This window comes from Homo sapiens, chromosome 4, assembly GCF_000001405.40.
Source record: "Homo sapiens chromosome 4, GRCh38.p14 Primary Assembly".
Lineage (NCBI taxonomy): Eukaryota > Metazoa > Chordata > Mammalia > Primates > Hominidae > Homo > Homo sapiens.
This window is the reverse complement of record NC_000004.12, coordinates 44,154,787-44,181,196: the sequence shown is the minus strand read 5'-3', so window position 1 is coordinate 44,181,196 and position 26,410 is coordinate 44,154,787. Positions and strand designations below refer to the sequence as shown.

At 36.2% G+C, this 26,410-nt stretch overlaps 1 protein-coding gene across 2 annotated transcripts in view; it reads left to right on the top strand.

Moving 5' to 3' along the window:
• The window catches only part of KCTD8 (potassium channel tetramerization domain containing 8), a 274,907-nt gene extending 267,613 nt beyond the window's left edge, over positions 1-7,294 (top strand). For both annotated transcript variants that reach the window (NM_198353.3, XM_011513690.4), the window contains one exon: positions 5,947-7,294. In NM_198353.3, the coding sequence (NP_938167.1) occupies positions 5,947-6,407 (461 nt within the window). In that variant the 3' untranslated portion in view covers positions 6,408-7,294. The remainder of the gene's footprint in view (positions 1-5,946) is intronic.
• Positions 7,295-26,410: the final 19,116 nt, after the last annotated feature.

Genomic DNA, 26,410 nt, shown 5'->3' with positions numbered 1-26,410 from the left:
AAGAGAGGGAGAGGGAGACCATGGGGAGAGGGAGAGGGAGAGGGAGAGGGATCTAGTAGGTTTTAAAACTGAGATGTGAACCCAGACAGTCTGCACTATGCGGCCTTAAGTATCATTCTTTTTGCTGGCAATTCACCAGTAAGAATAGATGTAATTAAACAGACATAAATTAATAATGTTTTCTAGGACTATACTTACTGTCAGTGAACTTGCAGAAAATTATCCTTGACCCCTAAAATTCTTTGAAATACCATAGTAGTAATTGAATTTGTTTCCTTGTTCTGTGGTAATTTCTATTCATGGTAACCTTTTAATGCTTAATATTTGATCAGAATTTTACAGCTTGGAAAATCTCCTCCTATTCATTATATCATTTAGAATTACAGACTCTTATAACATAAAAGAACTTAGGGGACAACCCCAAAATATTAACCAAAAAGAACCGAATATTAGAGAGGTTACCTGACCAACACAAAGTTCTTGCTTGGTTGGAGTGGCTGAACCAGGCTCAAACCCAGATCTTCCAAGGTTATTCCCCTAGTGATGAAAAAATTTCAGCATAATAAATGCATCTAAGTGTGTGTGTGTGTGTGTGTGTGTGTGTGTGTGCATGTATGTATACTGACTGTTCTTCAAAAATAATATTGGAGAGGCATGACCTAGGTAGCTGGTTTGCAGATCTCCTAGTTAAGACTGTACTTGCCATTTACAAATGCTCAATGGATGGAGCATTCCTGGATGGATATCCTAGTTTATTTAATAGCAAATAATCAAATGAAAAGTTGATTAATTGTTCCAATATTTGAAAGTTTCTAGGTGTACCTATTTATCTAACTATTTAAAATAATTAACTCTTTTTTTTTACAGATAAATCTTAGGTTAATATGAGACTTGCTTATTCACTAATCTGTTGCTTACACTTCAATAAATGGTGATGAGTTCTTTATATGATGGAAGAAATCCTAGCTGATGAGATCACCAAAACACAATTATATTTTCTTTTTTAAACCAAGTATATTGGGTGCTCTAACTCACAGGGCAAAGTGCTTTCAGGAAGATGTTTCAGGTATATATTTGATTCTATTACTAGTTGAAGAGACACAGAGACATTTCTAATAGTCATGTTGTTCCCATATATTCACTAGTTGGTGATATTTAAATTATCATTCATGTGGTGCTTAAAGCATGTCAAGTGGCTTTGGGCCACTGAATAAAATAATATAAAATTAAAGTTTTAAATTATCCCTGGAAGCCTGCAATTAGCGGGCATCCACAAGAAAACTGGGCAACTAGAGTAATCATTATTTACCTAATTAATTTTTCTCAATTTCATGTCATAAAAAGCAGCTAAATCAGTTTAAGTTATTGTATCTTAGTCCCAATTTAAATCTACTAAGTTATCAATAATAATTTAAAGTATGCTTAAATGGATAGCAATTAAAACTGATAGCATAAATCCAAAAAAGACTATTAGTGATCCCTAATGATTTATACAAAGAGCAGTCATATTATTCTATTCTTTCAAAGATGTACACAAAATAAAGCCAAGCATTCTCTTTTAAGTCATTATATAAACCTCCGAATCTGTTTGGTCTGATTGGGAGTTCACCTTGCCTAAAGATATTGTATTAAATAGGATTAGCAAAATGTGAAAGAACATGAATATATATATATATAAAAATATATAAAACATATATATAACATGAATATATGTTATATGTTAATATATATTTAATTCTAATTAATGTGTATAACTATTTTAAGTTCTTTTTATTTTTAAAGCTCTTAAAATCACAGTAAATTCAGGTTCCCCTTTTCTTCATAGTTCTTGAAGTCTATAGAAAGAGATATTCTAAAATATCCCAAGCATTTCAAACACTGTATAATTATAAAATACTATTCTTTAATAGACTCTATTTCCGACCATGCCCTGGCCCATATTATTTGTCATTGGAAAGACAAGAGGGAGGAGAAGAGAGGGATATAGATGACTTTTTCGAAGGTGGCAAAGAAAATTTGAAAGTAAAAAGTGAAAGAAAAAAAAAAGCTAGTGTAGGAAATTCAGTTAGACCCATTTGGTATGGAGTGCATCTTAGTTCATCTTCCCAGAAAATTATAGGGATCATTCTACACACATGTAAAATCTTTTCTCTGCATCTTTTTGTCCTCACCCACTTGGAGTTGGAGAAAGCCTATGAACTTCATCAGGCAGAAAGCTCATCTTATCCATAGTTGTGTCTCCTCCAGAACCTAGCACTATGTCTGGCACATGGTGGGTACAAAATTCTCAGCTGAATTCATTGATCTCTTCTTCAAAGAGGGCTTCCTTAATCTTCTATCTTGCACTGCAAGACCAGTTAGTTTTCAAGACACAAATGTTACATTCTATTGTCATTAAGCATTTTTTTCTTCCTCCCAGTGAATAGAAACAAATAGAATAAGGCATTTACTTTGGTAGTATCTAGTACTCTCTTTCTGAATTGTCTTTCACTTTGATATTATTGCTTCTCTGCCTGAGTAACTCTATCTAATTCTCTGTTGCCCTGCCAATAAACAGGAAATTATTTTTTTCATCACTTATTTATCCTTAATGTAAGTTGCTTTGCTTAGATATTTGCAGTTTAATCCTTTAGTCATTATTGGGAATGAAAATCATAGATTCCTTTGATGGGGGCTTTTGGTTAAAGTATAGCAAAATATTGACAGAAAGGGTAAAAAAAACAACATTTATTTATATACTATGTTGTATTAGGGTGTTGAATTTCATGCTTGCTTAGGATCACATTCAGCCATAAAGGTAACTAAAGAGATGCTGCATCTCCTCCACCACTCCCGGCTTCATATAAACACATACATACCAGCCCTTCACACTGAACTGAAAACCTCTAGGGATGTATATGACATATGCACATTCAAAAAATACCACTGATATACCTTGATATACTCTCATTGTTGAGAATCATTATACTAGATCCTTTTACATGATATTTTATTTAATCTTAAAATGCTCCTATGGGGAAAGTAGTTTTACTCATATTATAGATGAGCAAGTTAATGCTTAGAGGAGCTAAGTATCTTGTTCAAAGCCACAAGGCTAGTATTTTCTGGAGAGCCAGAATTTTAATCCAAGTCAGTAGGACCCCAAACCTATTTATTTTCAAATTTTATTGCCACATAAATCTGGTGCCACTAAAAACTGATCCTTCAAGTAACATCCCTCTAGTCAATGGAAAAGACGGCTGGTGGCCAGAGTGGGTCTGATAGAGTGGATCTATCAGAAACCCAGGAAGAGAGAGAAGACACACTCAGCTGGGACATTTAATAACATTTAATATGGGACAATTTACACCAGTGTAGGAAGTACACTAAGATTAGTTATGGTACCTAAATGGTTAAAACCTGTATTAGTCCATTTTCACGCTGCTGATAAAGACATACCTGAGACTGGGAAGAAAAAGAGGTTTAATTGACTTAAAGTTCCACATGACTGAGAAGGCCTCACAATTATGACAGAAGGCAAGGAGGAGCAAGTTATGTCTTACATGGATGGCAGCAGGCAAAGAGAGAGAGCTTGTGCAGAGGAACTCCTCTTTTTAAAACCATCAGGTCTCATGAGGTTTATTCACTATAGCGAGAACAGCACAAGAAAGACCCAACCCCATGATTCAATTACCTCCCACTGGGTCCCTCCCATGACAAGTGGGAGTTGTAGGAGTTACAATTCAAGATGATATTTGGGTGGGGACACAGCCAAACCACATCAACACCTGTAGGCCTAAAACTATGAGCCTCAAGAGGGGTGGTAGAAGAGGGAAGGAGAAGAGAAGGGAGAGGGAGACAGAGAGAGCTTCCTGATAGGGCTGTGCCTCTAGGTCCAGGGATATAACCAGATCATCACATTCCTGGGGGTGGGGTGGGGTTAGGGTGTTGTCTTGCTAGTCTTTGCTGTTGACTGAATCCATCTGAAAGCCAGAAGGCAAGAGAGCTTAAGAACATAGTCTGTACCCATCAGCCACTGTGGACAGAGGAGAATAGAGAATGGATCTGGGTAAGTCCAGCACAGAGTGTTAGCAGTGCATTTTCTCCACCCTACCCCAAAGTCTCAGCTGACTCTCCCTGACAGAGAGAGGCTTAAAACAAATAAAACCCAACAATTTTTTTAAATATTTGGTTGCAAATACTTCTGAAATGTAATGGTGTATTTCCTTACTAAGCAATTATAAGCATTAGCATTTGTCCTGGTTTTATCATATTGCAGACAAAGGAAGTTTGAAATATTGCTTAAGACTTTCCCTGAGATAGATAGATAGATAGATAGATAGATAGATAGATAGATGTAGACATATATACTTTATGTTTCTTTGTTGTTTGTGTTTTTCAGGAGGGGGAGTCAGGTTAGTCAAGGTATAATTTACATACATAAAAGCTCAGCCATTTAAGGCATACAGTTCTATCAGTTTTCACAAATGTATACAGTCATATAATCAACACCATAATGAAGAGATAGAATATTTCCATAATTCCAAAAAGTTGTAAAACTTTTAAAAATCTTTAATTCGATATTTGGCATTGACTTATGTTTCTTCTAATTTTTGAATAGAAAAAAAATGGTGATAGAAACCAGCAGTGTTGCACATAGGAGCTGCTTTTAAGAAAAGGTTTTTTATCTCTTAATCCTTCTGAGTAATATCAACTGCCCATGTTGGCTATTAATTCATTTCATATATATTAGACTGATCAGTGGTTCATAACCTTGGATGCACATTGAAATCTTAAATGACCTGATGGCCAGGTGGCACCCCATTAAATCAGGAGGTCTGGGGTTGGTTCCAAGGTATCAATAATCTGAAGCTTTGTAGGTGATTCCAGTATGCTTCCAAGGTTAGACCCCCGAAATTAGACCAGTTGTTCTCAACTCTGGCTGCACAATAGAACCCCTGGGCAATTGTTTAAAAACACTGATGCCTTCCTCCTGATTCTGATTTATACAACTTGTTCAAAAGTTTGACTCTAAGAAAATAAAATAAGAGTTGAGTAATTTAGATCTCTGAATTGTTGGGCTCCATTTAATGAAGGTTTTAGAACAGCTCTGGGTATGTGGTAGTGTTTAATAAATGTTAAATGGAGATCCTAATCCCACAGTGGAGTCAGGGAGAATAAAATATGCCTCTTTTTGGAAACACACTGTGAATTTGAAATAATTATCTTGGTAAACTATCACTTTCTGAAAATTGCCTTCCTAAGTAATTTACCTCAAATGGTAGGCCTTATATTTTAAGAGAATACCATATTTCAACTATATTTTCACACCATAATATTAGGCCCCTATATATCTTATAGCACTTTCACAATTTTCCTCTAGGAAGTAGACATGAAATAAGATTAAGAGACTAAGAATAAGATTTAAACCAGCCTCCCCTTTGGAAGCATAAATGATGTGATTGCAGCTCTGGGCCTGGAGAATACTGCAGCTTTGTAAAATATATCAATGGTACTTTCTTGCTTTTACAGTGGCAGAATATATATACAAAGGACACCTAGTGCAGTGGGTAGAACAAAAATGAGCTAAGTGTCTAACAAAACAGATAGAGGGCTAACAAAACATTACATTTTTTTTTATATTCCAGGAACTAGTAATTAAAATAACAAAAATCTTCTTTTCAATATGAAGCTATTGATGGTCTCTAAGACAGAAACTCTCATTAAACAAATTTCTCAAATTTTATTGTTTTGAATAATTAATCAGCATACTGCATCTTTCAATGTACACTAAAGACCCTAGGTCTTGTATTTAATCTCACAAACCTAGACTAGTACAATATGCACCATTTTTGTTAAAATAAATGTTCTTGGTTTAAAATAGAAAATATAGAGTTCATTTAATTTTACCTTCACACTTCTTATTCAACTGTTCTACTCTTCTTCTTTTTTTTTCCTCCTTTTTAGGACCACCTCAGAAAATAGTATCACCTAAACAAGAACATGAAGATAGGAAACATGACAAAGTCACTGATAAAGGAAGTGAAAGTGGGACTTCCTGTAATGAGCTCTCCACTTCCAGTTGTGACAGCCATTCAGAGGCAAGCACTCCCCAGGACAACCCATCCAGTGCCCAGCAGGCAACAGCTCACCAACCTAACACTTTAACATTGGATCGCCCCTCTAAAAAAGCACCTGTACAATGGATACCCCCACCAGACAAACGCAGAAACAGTGAACTCTTTCAGACCCTCATCAGCAAGTCCCGGGAAACAAATCTGTCCAAAAAGAAAGTCTGTGAGAAGCTAAGTGTGGAAGAAGAAATGAAAAAGTGTATTCAGGATTTTAAAAAAATCCACATTCCAGATTATTTTCCAGAGCGCAAACGCCAATGGCAATCTGAACTGTTGCAGAAGTATGGGTTATAGTAATTGTCACATTCCTGCAGTATTTTGATGACATTCAATGTTTACTACAGTGTCACCACCTGACTGATGTCCTAACAATGGTCAGTGTGATTCTTGCTGCTCTTCCTTGTTGTGAACAGTGGATGTGGGACAGTATTTTCTTTTATGTTTTAGTTGTTGTTCTTTTTAGAAACATGATTAAAAAGGAAAAAATATTAAATCAATAAGTGTTAAATCAAAATGGAATATCTGATTCAAACCATTTTACAAGAATGAAAGTAAAATGTGCATGATCAAGCTTAGTATCTTGGTTTTTGAACTCTGGTCAACTGGATATGTTTGTCATTTTGTAACTTACCAAAAACAAACCATCATATCATACCAACTAAAATGATATATGGATGAAGCAACATCAAGTAAAATTTTAGACGATGGCTATAGGACCCAAATCTAAAGCTGTCTAAATGTTAATTCAATGAAACAAGTATTATTTTTGCATGAATACAATGTTACAAATAAATCACAAGAAATAGGGAAGATCTGTTTGTTGCTTGGAAAGAAAAAAATTACAAAAAAAAGCAAAAAAAAATGTTTTAGACAAAGCCTATAAATGTAAGCTGTCTAGGAGATTGAATTTTCTTTGTTCTGGATCTGTGACTTTTTTGTGTATGTGTATGGTGTTTATGTATATTAAGATGGTGTAAATATGCCTTATACTGTTATTTATGGCATCAACATTCATTTACTAATGCTAGTCATGATTATTACTGTGAAATGAGTCTTACATCGGGCTGTGAAAATTGGTATAATGATGCTTTGAAAGATCCTATTATCATGTTAATCAAAATAATAGAGGGAAATGGTAAAGAGCTTTATGTATTTATTAAAAAAAGAAAAATGTATTAGAATTTCTTGATTTCTATTGACTCTTCTTTAAAAATATTCAACTGTCATCTTGTTTTCAATTTTCCTTTAAAACTCTAAGCTGTAGAATTATTTGTTCAGACTTAATGTTGACAACTTTAAACGTAATTCAAAATGGAGACATAGTCAGATCCAGATAGCATTGGTATGGATTAATAAACACTTAGCCCACAAGAGAAAAAGTCCTCATGTAAAAATACACTAAAATGTTATTTTACCTATTAACCAGATTGAATGCTTCTCCAAAAACAACTAGTAAGTTACCTCTTACAGATCAAGGCACAAAAATGGCAATATCAAACTAAAAGGCCAGGCTTTATGAAAAATGATTTCTTCCTGGTTGTACATGTGGAAAGAAGCTTTCTTGTCATAAGCCACACAATTTTGCCTTGCCATATCCACAGAAAGAAATGTATAACATCATGAAATTTCACTAAAAGAAAGGCTAAGAGAGGGTAAAATTATCTTCAAGAATTAAAGAACCCATTCTCCTCTGTAGTTGGTCAAAATGGAAGTTGAGCAGCATTTGAAGTATCATTTCTTTCAGCACAATACAAGAAGATGAGCATTATCAACTCAAAGTTTAAAAAATCTGCATTCATTTTTGGATGCATTGTTAGATTTCTCACTGTACCATTATGTAAAATATCACCTACAGTGGACTATTAAAGGAAACTAATATATATGATTTACCTTGAATTATCTATCAGGTTTTAGGCAAACAGCTGCTCTCAAGTTCTGCATTTCATTTTGGGAAGGTTGGCAGTCCCAACATGGCTTGATGTAGCTGCAACACACTGGTGAGAGGATAGAGCTTGGCAGTAAGGTTTCCACAGTTCGAATCCCACCTGTACCACTTACTATCTGTGATCTTAGGGATAATGGGGAAAATAAAGGGGCATAATACCATAGAAAACATTTAAATGACGTAATTGAAGTAAAGCATCACCAGCACTACTGGAGCTGGAGGGAAAAAAGGAAGGTGTTTGTCTTACTGAAGTCTAGGAACCAGCACTATCAAATGGGGAGTTTGTAATACTCGGGGGCAAGCTGTCTGGTAAGAACTATAGCCTCTAAGGAGTCACAATCACTTTCAAAGATGCTTCATGAAGCACAGAAGAGAACATTACTCTAGTTTTCCACTTTTCCCACATTCTAATTTTACATCAGCACCTTCCCTCTTCCCAATATAAGTAGGAGCCCGTTGTCTAAGCAGCCTAGGAAATGTAATTTGTACAAGGGTTCCCCTTGAGACACAAAGTCCAACTGCAAAAGGCAAGGAATCAAGGAATAAATCTGAAAACCTTGCACCTTGCTCTGTTTTTTTCCCCCAATAAAATAGCTCAAATCGAATTGCAATGGAAATAATTTGGTAACTGGGAACCCTGCCATCTCTTCGTATCTCTACACTGTAAAATAAGTGAGGCCAGTGATAATTGTCTATTCTTACAGTCCTTGCTAAATTAGAATAAAAGTTCTGAACCATGGGGTAGAAGGGCGCCCACTTCAACAACTGTCTTTTGAGCACTTATCATACACCAAGCATTTGTCTCAAAGGTCAACAGCAAATTCAAGAAACACAAATGACCAGCTGTTGCTTTTGGAAGGAAGCTTAGAGTGGGTCTGATTCTCCCAAACCATCATGCTTTCCCCAGAAGCTAAAACTTGGCTGGTCTCTATTTGGGTTAAAAAGGGATCAAGGGATGCAGCAAGAACAGGGATTCTTCCTTGAAAGAAAAAGAAGACACCAAACTTCCATGGTGAGTTGGGCTAAAATTGGTATATAAAACTCCCTTTCCAAAAACCCAGTAGATAAAATCTGACAATCACCACAAGTCAGAAGACTGGAATCAGGCACTGAAGTTGAGTATTTATTCTCGCCCACATGTTTTACATTTGTTTGGTACACAGTAGATACTGAACTTGTGACCTGATGTGTTACCATTGCTAGTTTAAATGGAAACATTTAGTACTAACTAAGATGAGAGAAAAAAGTAGAAGTCAAGTGTGATATTTTTGATTCTGGAAAAATGGAGTAGACTACCTTTTCCTATTCTTCCTACTAAGTGTAATTAAATCCCTTTACATTATATTTAAAAAAAAAGTAAGACTCCAAAAGGCTGAAAGAAGAGGGAAGGCTAGCTAGGGATATTGGGTGGTAAGTTTCCTTAGGTTTCCTTTTGCCTCATACATCCCAGACTTGAGCCTCACACATCCCAGAAACACTAATAGGTGCAGACAAGCCCCAACAAATGTCTGTTCTCTTTAGTCAAAAGACCAGGAAAGGGGTAGCAAGACAGAAAACATTTAGATAAACTCTGCTTTGTCAGGTTGGGGAGAAGTGGACAAAATTGCATTAGTTCTTTTAAGCCTCCCCAGTTTTCATAGAATAAAATTCAAACACTGTATAAACCATAATATAGGTTCTCAATAAAATGGCTCCATATCAGTTTACCTTTGTTGGGCAACAAACCACTCGAAAGGATAGTGGCTTAAAAAAAAATTATCTGCTTGCAATTCTGTAAATTGGCAATTTGTCCTGAGATCAGCTGGGCTGTTCTTCCACGGATCTCACCTCGGCTTACTTACCTGGATAATCCTGGTTATTTGGCAGGGGATGAATAATCTATAATGTCTTTATTGAATGTTTGGCCATTGACATGTTTCAATTACAGTGACTCAGTTGTCCATATAGCCCTTCCAATGGTCTAGCTCAGATTTATTCACATTGTGGCAGTGTACGAAAGAGTGTTCAAGGCCCTGAAGGTGTAGCTCTCAACTTATGCATCATATTCTCTGTACTCTATTTGGAATGGTCAAAGCAAGCCATTCCAAATTAAAGGGGCTGTGAAAATAGCTCTACTTCTTCATAGGAAGAGCAGCAAAGATTTTGTGACCATTTGCAACCTACCATAGTTCTGACATATGCTTTCACATCTAGAAGCAAACTCTTTGCTCACCAATTACTATGGATTTATGATTACCTGTACCCTAAAATCAATACCATCACCAACTCCTCTAAAACCCAAACACATACAAACTTCTTCATCCACCTTTTGAAATCCTACCCATACTAATGTGTTTTAATTCAAATGACACCTACTCTTCAAAGCTTTCTTTAATTTATCAGAACAGAATTAGTAATCATTTCATTCTCAGATATCTCAGATCACTTTAAAAACATCCTTTCTGTACCTATCATTTATGTCATAATATATAAGGGTAATGACGTACACTTGTCTTTTTAATTAGATTGAAAGATGTTTCATGTAGCTTAAGATCTTACTTTTCTTTGAATGGGAAAAATAATGAGTAGAGAGTTTCTGCACACAGTGGGCACAATAATTTTTGCAAATTAATAAACATCCTTTTCAATGCAAGAATATCATTAACAGCCATTGATAGATATTCTTCCTGCCTCCCTAGGCTTGCTAAAAGCCCTTTTACAGCGTTTCCAGGCCAAATCTCACGCATTGATTTTACATTCCTAATCCCTCACAGAGAGATTACTCAAAGGGATATCTTAAAAATATTTCACAGTTTGTTTCAATTTGGATGAACATGATTTTGGCATCTCCTGCTTGAGATGCAGTGATTAGGCTGAAAATTATTTCTTCTCTCCTACAGTGTCTCCTTTTGGTTTGGCATACAGTAAACATAAGTTGTGACCTGGAATGTTAATGATCTGTAGTTCAGAGTATTAAATAAATTTTACCAAGGCCTAGTTATATTTGTTTATGAAAGGATGAAATTTGAAAGAGTTTCCTATAAAATCCGTAAACATCCAACCTATTTTCAAATTACCCTCTCTCTCCATTCCATAGTCCTAAAAACGTCACTTTGAAACATTACATACAGGGGTTAAAAAGATCACATAACTACAGAGTTGAAAGAATCTTAAAAAGCATGTACATTTTCTACATAAATGAAATTAAAGTAATCTATCCCTATTTCTAGAATGTTCCCATGGGCTAAGTACTTTATCAGGTAATATCAAAGATACAGCCATAATAAAGACACCTAAGAGCTTATGGGTTTAATTTCAACTATAAGATGTGTACACAATGACTATGATACAGGGTAGGCAGTGGGGTAGGCTGTAATAAAAGCACAAATATTGTTACATGGATTTAGAGGAAAAGATGGCTTTATGGTGGAAGTGTAATGTGACATGGGACTTGAAGGAAAGGGGATTTGGATTTGTAGATATAAGGATGTTGAAAGGGGACTGTGTAAGGAAAGAGACAAGTCTTTAAGTTTGAATGTGTAAGATAACTAGTAGATGAAGCTATTTTAGAAAAAAAAATTTACAAAAATATTATTGAATATATTTCAAAGTTTTAATGAATATACCATTCTTATGTTGAAGCATATAGTAACGCTGATGTTTTAATCATAATTTTCATATTCAAGATCATATTCTTATGAGTAAATTCTTTTTCTACTCACCCAGTCTTTTTCTCCAGTCTCCAGTTGCAGCAGCAGAGTGCTAAGGTAGAGGCAAATTAAATTCTCTTTAAAATGCCTTTAAGAAGATGAAATGGAAACTGATCAATTAAAACTGATGAAAATAAATAAGTCAATTAGAACTTGGACCCACAAATAACATTTTTGAGGGGAGAAGTATTTTAACATTCACATTGTTTTGAATTGCCAGTGCATAGTGATAATAAAAAGCAGATTAATTTTTAGTTAGTTTCATTGACATTTTAAAATTATCTACCCCTATTTCCTCTACCTAGGGTAGATTGCTCTCATCAACTGTGCTTAACACTTATTGCAGTTCAATGCAGAAAACAGACAGTTATAGTAGAGTTTAACAAGTGCTAAGCCAGAAACACATAAAAAGACGGTCTTGCCTGCAACTGCAAGTACATACCTTCATCATTTTCCACTTCAGCTACAGTAATAATGACTACACTGGTCTCTGCCTTCAATCTTTCCCCTTCCGGTCCATCCTTCATACTGCTAGAGAAGTGATCTTCCTACAACAAAAATTTTTCATTGTTATTATCCTCTTGCTTAAATCTCTTCATTTCACTGCCGACTGGGGAAAAAGACTTAAACTACTTTATATAACTAATAAAGTGCTCCATTTCCTGTCTCCTTTCTTTCTCCAGACTTATGACCATGTATTCACATGTACACACACGTCCTTTTTCAGCTATTTTTAACTACTTGCAATTCCCAAGTAGAATTTGCTGCTCCTTTCATTGTGCTCACCAATACAATATTTTTATGACAGGGACACAATTTTCTTTTTTTTTTTCTTTTTTTTTTTTTTTAGTATTTATTGATCATTCTTGGGTGTTTCTCGGAGAGGGGGATTTGGCAGGGTCATAGGACAATAGTGGAGGGAAGGTCAGCAGATAAACATGTGAACAAGGGTCTCTGGTTTTCCTAGGCAGAGGGCCCTGCCACCTTCCTCAGCGTTTGTGTCCCTGGGTACTTGAGATTAGGGAGTGGTGATGAATCTTAAGGAGCATGCTGCCTTCAAGCATCTGTTTAACAAAGCACATCTTGCACGGCCCTTAATCCATTTAACCCTGAGTGGACACAGCACATGTTTCAGAGAGCAGGGGGTTGGGGGTAAGGTTATAGATTAACAGCATCCCAAGGCAGAAGAATTTTTCTTAGTACAGAACAAAATGGAGTCTCCTATGTCTACTTCTTTCTACACAGACACAGTAACAATCTGATCTCTCTTTCTTTTCCCCACATTTCCCCCTTTTCTATTGGACAAAACCGCCATCGTCATCATGGCCCATTCTCAATGAGCTGCTGGGTACACCTCCCAGACAGGGTGGCGGCAGGGCAGAGGGGCTCCTCACTTCCCATACGAGGCGGCCGGGCGGAGGTGCCCCCCACCTCCCGGACCGGGCGGCTGGCCGGGCGGGGGCTGCCCCCCACCTCCCTCCCAGAGGGGGTGGCTGCCAGGCGGAGACGCTCCTCACTTCCCAGACGGGGCGGCTGCCGGGCGGAGGGGCTCCTCACTTCTCAGACGGGGCGGCCAGGCAGAGATGCTCCTCACCTCCCAGACGGGGTGGCGGTCGGGCAGAGACACTCCTCAGATCCCAGACGGGGTCGCAGCCAGGCAGAGACGCTCCTCACTTCCCAGACGGGGTGGCGGCCGGGCAGAGGCTGCAATCTTGGCACTTTGGGAGGCCAAGGCAGGCGGCTGGGAGGTGGAGGTTGTAGCGAGCCGAGATCACGCCACTGCACTCCAGCCTGGGCAAGATTGAGCACTGAGTGAGTGAGACTCTGTCTGCAATCCAGGCACCTCGGGAGGCCCAGGCAGGCAGATCACTCGCGGTCAGGAGCTGGAGACCAGCCCGGCCAACACGGTGAAACCCCATCTCCACCAAAAAATACAAAAACCAGTCAGGCGTGGCAGCGCGCGCCTGCAATCGCAGGCACTCAGCAGGCTGAGGCAGGAGAATCAGGCAGGGAGGTTGCAGTGAGCTGAGATGGCGGCAGTACAGTCCAGCCTCCGCTCGGCATCAGAGGGAGACCGTGGAAAGTGGGAGACGGAGACGAGGAAGAGGGGAGAGGGGAGAGGGAGGGCAAGGGCAAGAGCCAGGGACACAATTTTCTAACGTGTGCATGTTTTCCTTTATCTCCCACTAACTAAAGATGAGGATTTGCCAGCACAGTCCTTACCTATTTGGTGACATAAAATAGAGTTTGTAGATACAATCCCTACCACACCCCATTCCTACCACATTTTCACCTTTCCTTTTTCTCATCTTTTTCTTCAAGCAGAATAAGTTATAGAAATAGAAATTCACTATTTTGCAAACCCTAATGAAATAATGGATTTAAACACCAGCCACCCATGGCAGCAAAAATTACATGAAGGGATAATGGAAAACTTTATAATGGGTGGATCATACTGATAGTATCTGATCCCACTGCCAAATCTTAACATTATGCATAGGAAGACAACCAGACACTAGTGCCTCCTGACACAAAAGAATAGGAAGCTCACAGTACCACCTCTGATGTATTCTTGCCCAAAACAGAGATGTATCTGATAGGTCCCTAGATCTAACTGCCAGTTTGCTGGGAAAACAGGGGATAAAGAAACCTAAATAACAACAAAATGGTGCAGTCAATAATTTCTAGGATGGAGATTCTACATGACAAGTTAATTCTTCAACAATAAAGTGGTCAGGGAAAAACAAAGAGGGAAGAGAATCTATAGTCAAAAGACATATCCTATAGATGCTATACTGGGAGTTCATGTGGATCCCAGTTCCCCTCAAACCAACTGTAATACCATCATCATCTTCAAGGAGTTTATTCATCTTAGATGAATGTTTAATGGTAATAACAAATTATTATTTGTTAACAATAATACCATGGATATGTTGAAAAAAGTGTCCATATCTTTTAGAAATACCTCTGAAGTATTAATGGATTAAAATCTAAGACATTTACCTTTAAAATAACCCATGGGGGAGGAGCAATGGTTCAACTAGATGAAGCAAGGTTGGCCATGTGTATAATTGATGAAGCAAGTGATAGATACTCATGGTTTCTTTCTACTTTAGCATATGTTTGGAGAAACTCATAATGAAAAATTAACCTTTTAAATTAAAAAAAAGCATTTTGAGAAGGTGAAGAATGTTGACCCAAGAAATATCCTAGGAATTTTGAGCAAGGTTGAGAAAGTTAAGAGCATTTTTGAGGTTGGCAAACAAGAATTTATAGTGATACCAATTTATCTTATTGCATAATTTTCTGAAGGAGTATAGGCTCCTGCGGTAGAGAGTAGGTGTGGGGGTGGTAGCATAGATAATGTGTATAAAAGTAATTAGCTTTGTATTTGTTTTTTTTAACCATCAGAGAAATATAATGAAATATAGAGCAGCAAGAGAGATACAAGTAATGGTGAGGGTGTTAGTTAAATTATGGACCTTGTAAACTCAACTGGATTATTTTAAATGAAGTGATTAAAGAAGGTAATAGATTGGGGATTGAGAAATGGAATAGATACCAGCCTGGAAATCTTATAATCAAAGCATGAACTCAGAGAAAGTGAATGCATATGACATCTAGAAGAAATGGTGATTGTGGTCTGTTAAAAGGATTCTTTTAATTCATAATTTTAATACTCCATATTTTGAAGGCATTCCGGAAGGGCCAAAAATCACTTGAATCTATTTCAGCTTTCTTGGCTAATGATTTGACTTACATAATTCTGACCGTGTTGCATGATAGATTACTGTAATGGCTCTCTAACAGCTCTTCCTATAACTTCTCTAACAAATAATCTGTACCAGGCAACATTATTCTTCATAAAACACTGCTTTCATAATGTACTCCCTCACACAAGAGTCTCAGGACGAGGAGCCATCTGCGAGTCTAGTGTGACTGAACCTGTCATTCCTAGGCCTCTCTTAAGTGGCCAAACCCTGTACATTTTTGTTTCCCAGTTGCTAATTCTCATCAGCCTCAGCTCCAAGAAGACACATCTTCTTCCTATTACTTCTTTTCTTTTTGTTTTCTAAATTCTGAATTCCTTTTCTTCCCTAATGTTTTTCACATCAAATCAATAATCCCATCAAAACCAAGATAAACACAACATAACAAAAGCTGTCTGTGTGGGTTCAAACCCTAGCCTGATCACGTATTAGCCAAATGCAATATAGTGGTGATAATGAGTACTTATCCTAAGGATTGATAATGAGTAGTTAACCTTATGTAACCTTACACGTATTACATATAATACATGTAAGATTCTTAAAACAATACTCACCATTACTCAACCATTTTTCTAACTACTTATGAAAAGCCCTTTTTGCCATATTTCCTTATTTGATTCCCTTTAGTAGAGATACAGAATTGCTATATCTCAAAATATTTACACATGGTATTCTATAGATTTGTTCTATAATTACATGAAAAAATAATTACGACCTCTACTATCCTTGTATTCACTATGTTTAAGTAGTGTTTTGCACCATTAGTTACTTAATAATGCTTATGATTAATCAAATGTTAAATATCTAAATTAAATAAAGGAAGCAAACAAATGTATTAATAAATGAATCTAGGAATGAATTACTAAACAAAATAGCATAAATTTATCCAGTGAAGTTTCAGAGAAATAAACTATCTCAAATTCCCAACTTGTTCTAAAGTAAGATGCTAATTTCTCACTCTGGATTCAACATTAACACTCTGGAGTTATACATCCAATTAATTATGCATCATTTTTCTGTTTCAAAAAACCAAAGCTTGTCTACTTCTTCTCATTATAGTTGCCTCTTGATTGTTAGTAAAGTTAATTTGTTATATAAACTTTCAAGGAAATATGCAATTTTAGAGAAGTTTCAAAAAGATACCTAAGCTTCATAGAGCTCTTCTATGTACCGAGGAAATTTTAAAGAGTAAACTCTGACACAAATCAATGTTGACATCTTAAATACTTATTAGTGTAAATATTCACTCAATCTGAGATTCTGTTCTATCCATATCAGTGTAGTAAAAACTGAATTATCAGAATGCAAATATTTCTGCTGAGGATTTTTTTTATAGGGGGCAGGGAGCTGCTACTATCCCTAAAGGTAATATTTCCCCTAAATTTTTGTTTAATACTATGACATGTCACTAATTGCTATTTTAAATGTGTATAAAATTTGACAACAAAGTGAATTTCTTTTCTCTTTTTCTTTAGCGAACAAAATTTATCAGTGTTTTCTTATTGAGATATAATTCACCTATTTAAAGTATACCATTCAGTGGTTATTAGCATAGTCACAAAGTTTTACAATTATTATCAGTGTCCAGAGTAGTTTCATCATCCTGGGAAGAAAGGCCATATCCTTAGCAGTCATTTATGAATCCCCTTTCCCTGTAGGCAGCCCCTGGCAACAACTAATCTACTTTTGGTCTCTGTAGATTTGCCTATTCAATATATATATATTTATCATACATATGTATGATGTATAAAATCATACAATATGTAGCCTTTTGTGTGGAGCTTCCTTTATTTAGCATAGTGTTTTCAAGATTTATCCATGTTGTATCATGAATCGGTACTTTATTTTTATGACTAATATTCCAATGTATGGGGCTACAAAATTTTATTCTTCAGTTGATGGGCATTTGTATTATTTCCACTCTTGGCTATTATGAATAATGTTGCTATGAACATTTGTGTCCAAGTTTTTCACTGGATGTATGTTTCCAATTCTTCTGGGTATACACCTAGAGTGGAATTGCTGGGTAATACAGTAACTCTCTGTTTAACTATTAGAAGAATTGCCAAACTGTTTTTCAAAGTGGCTGCAACATATTACATTTCCACTAGTAATTTATGCCTTCATAAATTACAGTCTTACATGCTTCATAAATGCAGTCTTCTCAACATCCTCAACAATGCTTGTTACTTCTCTTTTTTTCAGTAGTTGTCCTAATGTGTGCAAAGTGTTATTTCATTGTGATTTTGATTTGCATTTCGCTAATAACTAATGAAATTGAGTATCTTGCATAAGCTTTTGGCGATTTATGTTTCTTCTTTGAAGAAATGCCTATTCAAGTCCTTTGCCCCTTTTTTAATTGGATTGTCTTATTATTTTTAAGTTGTAAGAATTTTTCGTATATTCTGGATATCAGATATTTAGACCCTTATCAGACACATGATTTACAAATATATTCTTAAATGTTTAAATTAATAGGTTTCCCAGACATTGCCAATGAACTATGTACATATGAGAGCATGCCTTCAACATTCAGGCAGACAAATTATCACTCCATTTTGGTGTTCACACACTGCTTACTCAGAGCCTGAAGGTCAGCCAGCAGTGAGAGCTTAGAATGTTCTCAAGTCTTTCCTGGGCATGTACATAGCCCTGCATATATATGTGACCTTCCAGATTCCCAGAAATATTTTGGAGCTTTCCGAAGTCCTCTGTGTATATCTAATTCCCCATTTTTTTCTTTTAATTAATTTGTTTAGCTTATTGTTTGCCCCAACTGTTATCACTGCCTCAGGTAACTGTGATGGTAAACAATTGTCACTGATTATTTCCAAAAGCACCTTCGGGAAAAGAATGTTCATACTAGGGAAAGTCTGAGTCAGGTCAAATAAAAACAAGCTTTATCAGTGGGATTTTCCAGCAAACCATGGGAATTGCTTTGAAGGAACCCTAGCCCCATTTTTTTCCCCTTCAGAAGAGGCTAGGCTGCTAGTTTTCACTTTGATTTGTAGCTATTGCTTTTCACAGAGCTAGGGAGAAGGTCCTAGGACTAGGGCATTAAAATGCTGCAAAACTCATTTCTTTTACTGGGATTCTGCTGTTTTTCTTGAGTAAAGACTCTCCTAACTGTTACAAGTTTCTGGTTAAGTTTTAGAGTTTTAAAAAAGTTGATTTTGGGCATTTTTGCCAGTATTTTTATAGATTTTATGGTGATATTTTCTATGGTTAAAATAGAGAAATGATCAAAGTATGATTTCACAATCCACATGGCTTATTGTCACAGAAAGAGACTTTTTTTTCCACAATGTTCAAAAAGAGGGAGAATAATGAGAACAAATCTCACAGGAAATACACTTGATGGAGGAGGTATTTTAAACCATACAGTGAATTCCAATTTCATTTAGAGTCCAATTATTAAAGTCTAGTTGCTCAGTTAGGATGGAAGCAGTCCTCTTTGGAGATAAAGCCTAATCAAAGTTTGAGGCATACTTTTCTATGAGATATTCTCAGAAGAGACAATTTGACCAACACGGTGGAGATCTGGGAAAACACACAACATCCTTTGGCACCAGCAAGCATTGCAGGTGTGGGCAGGGAGGACTTGAGGGAACAGCTCAAGGACTGGACAAGAGTAGCCTTGCCACAGCCTATGCCCTCAATGTGTTTGTCAGAGTCTTGGGTTATATATGTTTTGGAGTACAGCAGTTGAAGCCAATAATTCACATTTATGGTCTGATAAGGTATGAGGTAACATTCTCGAGGGGAGAGGGATTACACTCCATGTTCTTACCATAGCAAAACATTATGTCACTCAGGTAGCAAATCTTGTACGTGCTTGGAATCATTTCAGAGCTACATAATAAAAGGAAAGGATTTGGGGGGACCTTTATCCATTCCAGCTCTATTACTGTTTTTGAAATTGATATAATTTTAATGTTTGTCTTTTTCTGAGGAAAGTTTTTCATTGAAAGGAAATCGCATATTTCTTATGCACAAAAGAGTTGTGCACATCCAGTGGTATTATATAGAATCTTCCTAGATCAAGTCATTTCTTTCTGTCTTCTCAGAAGCCCGTATTCAAATTCAACATAATTTAATTTGTATGGAAGAGAGACCACAGGAACAATCTTTTTCCTTTTTAGTTATATTTTTGTTCTTGATTTTAACACTCTGTGCTTGTATTAAAATTCTATCATGAATTATGCACCATACAAAATCAGTACAGTGGAGTAACATAAATCAAAGAACAGGTGATATGTTGAAAGTTACCTTTCTCATAACTGAAAGTACTGTCAGTTCTGATCTAATAATAATAAAAGCACTGACTGATGTATCCAGATTTTGTTTCCTGGACAAAGAAGGATAGTAATCAGCAAAAAATTCATTTTTCATAACTGCCTCCATTGTTCTAGAGTTCCTTGAATTCTAAACATCATAATAATCACTTCCCTCAGTACCTAGAAATCATGTGCCTGCATGATAGAAGCCTAACCGGCAGCTGTGACAAAGTAATAAATCCAGTCACTTCAAAAGAGCTCGTACCTTAGACTTGATTAAATCAGGCTGCTATAAAAAGTTTGCTATTTAGAATAGTCACCTTTTCCAAAACACTTGTCAGTGGAATAATTATTTAGCTTGAAAAGTCCTATTAAGAGAAACAAAATCACCAGCAACCACGGGAAGTGGAGGTTCAAAGCCTCGGTTTATGAGTGAGAGTCTGATTCACCTTGAACAGGATATATACAGCTACACATGGACTGACTGGTAACAAGATAGTGTAACATTGTTTTAGAATATTTTTTTAAAAAAATCCTTTTGAAGCCCAAGTGAAATGCTTTCAGTATCATAGTAATAAACCCTAAATCCAACTATATCATTAGCATATTTGATGGGCAACTTTCTCACTTTCCCCTCATGACTTCAGCAACCTCAGAGTTGTTATGGTTTGTACTGAAGAAACTGCAAATGTAGGGATAAGACAGCCTTTTCATAATCACACGAACTGCGCATAACCAGTGTCAGCAATATTTCAGCATAAAATTCTGAATTTACCTATACATAAAACACACTTAATTAAACTTATCTAATCTCAAGCCAGAATCTTCCAAATAATAAATAACTCTTCACTGAAAATGTTGTTTCTTGCCACCTGGGGACATGAAGATAATTAAAGAGTGCCATAAATATATTATTTTGTATTTGTCAATCTTGCTCTTAACAATTATCATGACAGTCCTATATAAAGAATATTTATTATCTTAAGGAAATATGTAGGTTATTATTCCTAGGATTGAAAGGAAACAAGTAAAGTATCATTAAATTATTCAATGTTCTGCATATTTAACTGAAAACCCTTAAATTGCTTGTCTGTGTGTTTTAAAGCAGAAATTCCTAAATTCCACCATTTGAGATTGGAAATCACAGTTGGAGAATAAACAGGATCTGTCTTCAAATTAGGGTGAAATTTCCATTTCACATGTGCTGTTGTCAATATCTGGATGTTGAAACAGATGCATGCATGGCACAGTGAAAACACAGTTGAAATTATGATTCTGAATAATCAGTTTCCTGTGCTGCTCTAGTGTCCCTCTTCACTGCATTCAACACTATGTGTATTTGTTCTCTCTTTGCAAAACATCATATCTCACATGTTAATAGCCGCCTGATGAGGTACCATGACTATAGAAAATACCCCATAGGATGGCATGTGCTTGTCATATTAGATTTTAAGTATTTTTTTTTTACTTAAGCAATTAAAAAAAGCTAAATGGAATCCTGAATTATTAGTTTGCATTCATATTTCTACCTAGTATTTTATTTGTACAGCCACTTATTCATTGCTGTGTTTTTGTTTTTTTGTTTGTTTAGTCCAGTTTTCTTTGTTTTTTTTTTACTACAAAATTAGACATTAATGCTGCAGTCATAAGTAATAAAGACACAGTGGCCTTACAGAGTTTATCATCAGTAAACAATTCCAAGTGTAAATAAACAAACTAAAAAATAGTGATCAGGGATAAAAATGTCTCCCAGAAGACATCTGGCCCTGCATCTAAAGAATTAGTAGGCATTTTCTAGACAAGGGAGTTACGGGATTACTCAATGCTTTTGTGGAGAGAATGGATTTTCAAATTCAAGAAAGAAGATTGCACAAATGAGAAACTGAAAGAAATCCAGAGGCAGAATGTAGAGAGGTGAAGCTGCAGAGGTCAGTGGAGACCGGAACATGGCGAGACTTTTAAGCTATTTCAAAGGCTATTTCAAAAGCTATTTCAAAGATTTTTTTCTTAAGGACAATGGGAAGCCAATGAAAGTTTAGAAACTTGAGAGTAAATGAACAAAAAATTTTCAGACTATCATTTTGGGTGCAGAGGAAGGTAAAAGTTTGTGTATGACCAATTGGAATTCTATCACAGTTATCCAGGGAGAGAGATTATGTACAGTACTTGAACAGGGGGGTGAACATTAGGTATAGAAAAAGTGAAGTAATTGGAAAGACCCAGGGCTATTCGGAATATATTCTTTTCTTAGGATGTCTCCATACATCTGACTCAAATGCCTCTGGTAAGCTTAACCCTTTCATAAGCCTTGTATAACCGTTATAAGTAGCTTTTTGGTGAGAATCAAACTGTCAATAAAAGAGCAGTGGACGCAATTGGAACCTCAGCTTGGTTATTTACTACCTACCAACAGTCACTTACCTTTTTGGAATTAGTTCTTCCTAGGTTATAGAGTGGAGATCTACAATGTCTAGCAGATAATACATGCACAGAGTATTTTATAAATCATATATAAAAATATCACTATTATTCAAAGAAAGTAAATTCAAGTAGATTAATAGCAATAATTATGCATCTTGAGGAAAATAGGAGTGTAGAGAAGGGTTATAAGCTATCTCAAAGGACCATTTGTGAAGGAGAAGTTCAATACTCCATTACACAAACTACACAACAGCCTGTTGATTTCTTCACCTGTTCATCACATCAAACATCTGCAAAACCCCCTTAGCCTGCCCAAATCAATTTGGAGTCTGGCTTTGCAACTATAATACCAATCTCTCTTTCTATCATATATTATATGAACATCACAGCATTTCCTTCCCCTCCTGTGTAGACCACCAGAAAACTGACCCAGTATTGTCTACCTGCTATATCTGTGGTATTTACATTGTTTATACTATGCATCTGCATTGGCCAGAAAAATGCATGACCAGTGTCCCAAGTGTCCTAAGGTTAATGGGCATACTTCTTATATTTTTGTTTACTGGAAACATTGATGTCTCTTTGATAATGGCAAAAAAATTTTACAACTACTTCTGAATTAAGTTATTTTAGAATTTCCTGGCAAAAGTCTATGTTTTCTGAGTTCCCTATTAGGAAATAACTTAAATAATTAAGGACTGACTGAGTTTTTTTCATTTAAATCACTCTTTGCTGCAAGAGTCGTTCTAAATGGCCACATACAAATATTCTCCTATTATTTGAGAAGATGAGGTCATTGGAATGCTTCTCTGGATTCCACTAAATAAACTTTTGGATGGATTCCAGATGTAGAGATGTTTAGATATGGGATGCCAGTTTATACATAGAGGGATACTCTTTATTTTACTGCCAAAAACTTTCTTTCTTGAGGGAGGCTTGTGCATTTGCTTTGACTTGAAATTCTATAAGGCACGGGTTAAAGGCAAATATGCCTTTGATCCTAAAATTGTGCCAGTTAATGTCACTGGAGATCCTCGTAAAGGGATTTTTGTGTTTGCTTTTTCTTCTCTGCTTGACTTTGCTACATTATTCACGCTCACCTTTAGTCCATCTGGCAATGCATTTTTTCTCTCTTTATTTGTAGTGCCACAAATATGTGATATTATCACCAAGCCTGGTAATGTTTGTCTAACATCCTCTAGTGCAAAAAGCAACTAATGAAAGGTGTTTGGTGGAATCTCACTCCCTTGTCTCCTGACTACCCTAATATCAGTGGCTAGTTGCTTGGTCAGCAGTGTTATTGAATCTGCTCTCCTTTGTGCTCATTTGAACCGTCCGCTAGTGTGATTTCTGGTTTGATTCCCAGACAATTGTAGTTAGTAAATTTCCAAAGAACTTCAGATAACCATAACTGTTTATATGCTTTAAATGAGCTGGATCTTGCTATGTGAATGGTCATAGGTGGATAAATGAGAATAATTCTGGGACATATATTATGGTAATGTTTCATTGCCCTGTATTTTGGTGGAATTTGAGGTGTTGATTATGGTAGAGTTTGAGGTGTTGATTAACTGAGCTAAGTGCCCCTCTCATTTTAGACTTTATTGCTGATGGTTTTTATTTTTAAAAGAAGTTATGAAAATCTACTTTCCTGTAGATACACTTATCATAATAAGTCTAATAGAATATGACCGACATACTTTTTCTTAAGAGTGAGAACCTTGCTTCAGCTTTAACTTATTTACAATTTCAGCTACTTATATAGATTTCTGTCAACAGGCCAAGAGGGTGAGTTGAATATTTATGGGCCTCTCAATATATCAAAGATATGATTAATTTGCTATAATTTTTTCCTTATATTTGTTAGCCAACTAGTTACCATAAAAATCCTTATATAATTACCATTTTTTGCCTCTTTGTCATAAACACACAATGACTCCTTAGCCCAAGAAGAAGAAAAATACTTGGTTTTATTGTATAGAATGATTTGAAGGGCATATGGAGGACTCCATTGCAGCAATATGACAATAACCACCTTATCTGGTACCAGTGTTTGGAATTTGGCCACTAAGAGCTCATTCCCTTTTCCTTTAACTATATTAGCTCTTCTTTTCTCTTTAACATGTAAATAATTCTAGAGTAGATAAAAGAAATTAAACTGGTTTACATCAAGGTGTAAGTGACCTAAGTCGTTTTTTCTTCTAACAGGAAAGAGGCAAGTAGAGAGAGTATTGGGAGTTTGTGTTATGATGGTTGAAGGCTGAAATAAAGAAGGAGGAGTTGAGGTGCCCCTAAAGCACACTTGATTGATTCTATAGTGATATGCTTTGGTGGTGTTCTCACCCAAATCTCATCTTGAATTGCAGCTTTCATAATTCCCACATGTTGTGGGAGGGACCCAATGGAGATAATTGAATCATGGCAGTGATTTCCCCCATACTCTTCTCGTGGTAGTGAATAAGTCTCACAGGATCTGACGATTTTATAAGGGTTTTCCCCTTCTGCTTGGCTCTCATTCTCTTGTCTGCTGCCATGTAAGATGTGCCTTTTGCCTTCTGCCATGATTGTGAAGCCTCCCCAGCCACGTGAAACTGTGAGTCTATTAAACCTCTTTTTCTTTATAAATTAGCCAGTCTCAGGTATGTCTTTATCAGCAGCGTGAAAACGGACTAATACATACAGTGTGTCCATAAAATGAGTGGCTGTCACTTGGGCTCAGTGATAGTCATCTAGGTCTGCATTACTCAAGGAAAAACAAAAACAAAAACAAAAACAAACAAAACAACCAATGAGAGAGCTTGTCCTCAGCCATTTTTCAGTTTTTCAGTCTTCTTAATCCCCAGTCTACCCAGTAAAGATTTAATAGCTTCCTCAGTTAACCTATCTTCTTAAAATTGAGTACAATCTTATTTTGCATTGCCCTTGTTTCATTTCAGAGCATATTTATAGCTTGGATCATTGTGCCAGAGGGTCCTCAAAAAATCCAGCCTGTGCACGCTGAGATTCCTTTTTGGATATTTGCCATGAGACAGTGTTTCCTTCAACTATGAGCGCATGGACTCAGCACACTGTTCGTGAGTCTAAGTTCCTGTAAAACCTGGGCCATTTTATTTCCAAGAAATCGTTTATATAATTTACAACAGAGGGAAAGAGTACCAAAGAAAGCATAACGTTTCCTCAGTGTTCCCATCTTTCACTGTCAAGAGAAAATTTTGTTCGCTTGCAACTCTGCAATAACTCTGTTAGCAAATAGAAGGTTCCCACACTTCTTTGTGCAATAAGTGATAAAGAAAAAGATGTAACTAGACACTATATTGTTAATTTTGGAAATAAAAGGAGAAAGTAAGTCACTGAAAAGGAGAGAGCAGTGACTAGAGCATGTCCTCTAACCTTGTATGTGGATAGTCCACTAGGGCTATTGTATAATTATATTGTAATTGTTTTAAATAAAACTCGTTGTCAGAGGTCTGAAAAAACAGTAGGTAATATTTGATCATTACTTGATGTTATCACAAATAGAAAATAAGGGGACTCTTAAAACTGATGTCTCTGGCTTGAATAAGCGAATCTTCCATTCACTCATTCAGTGACTTATTAAAAAATACTTAATTTGAAGCTTTGTCAGAACAAAAGACATACCTGAGACTTCCTTAATCTTGGGGGCAAAATGTAGAGCAATTATTATGTACTAAAAATAAGTAAACTTACTGCAAATTTATTTCAATATCTTTATTGTTTTCTTTGAATAATTTAACCCAAATTATATGCTACTCTATTTCAGAAATTCACATAATTTACTTATATTTCTACAGTATGATCATTTTCATCTCTAAGGAGTTGTTAATAATTTTGTCAAAAAGTATCTCTGAGGACATTTATCACAAAAAGGTAAAACTGCTTGCCTTTTTGAGAAAATCTTCCAACTTTGCACACTTTGGAGAACCTAAAGTCCAAATAGTCACAAATAGAGTGTTCATCTGTACATTATCGGCTTTATCTGTTAATTTTTCTGCATGGGCATATAATACTGCCATTAGTCTAGGAGATTCATAAAGCTGACATTTTCCTAGTTTTGAGATCGACAATCGATCAGTGTTGAATGGTCACTTGGATAGCCTCAGCATGAAGACAGCGCATGTTCTTCTCCCAATATACCTGCTTCAGTGGCTTTCCTTTTGTCTCCTCATTAGCATTG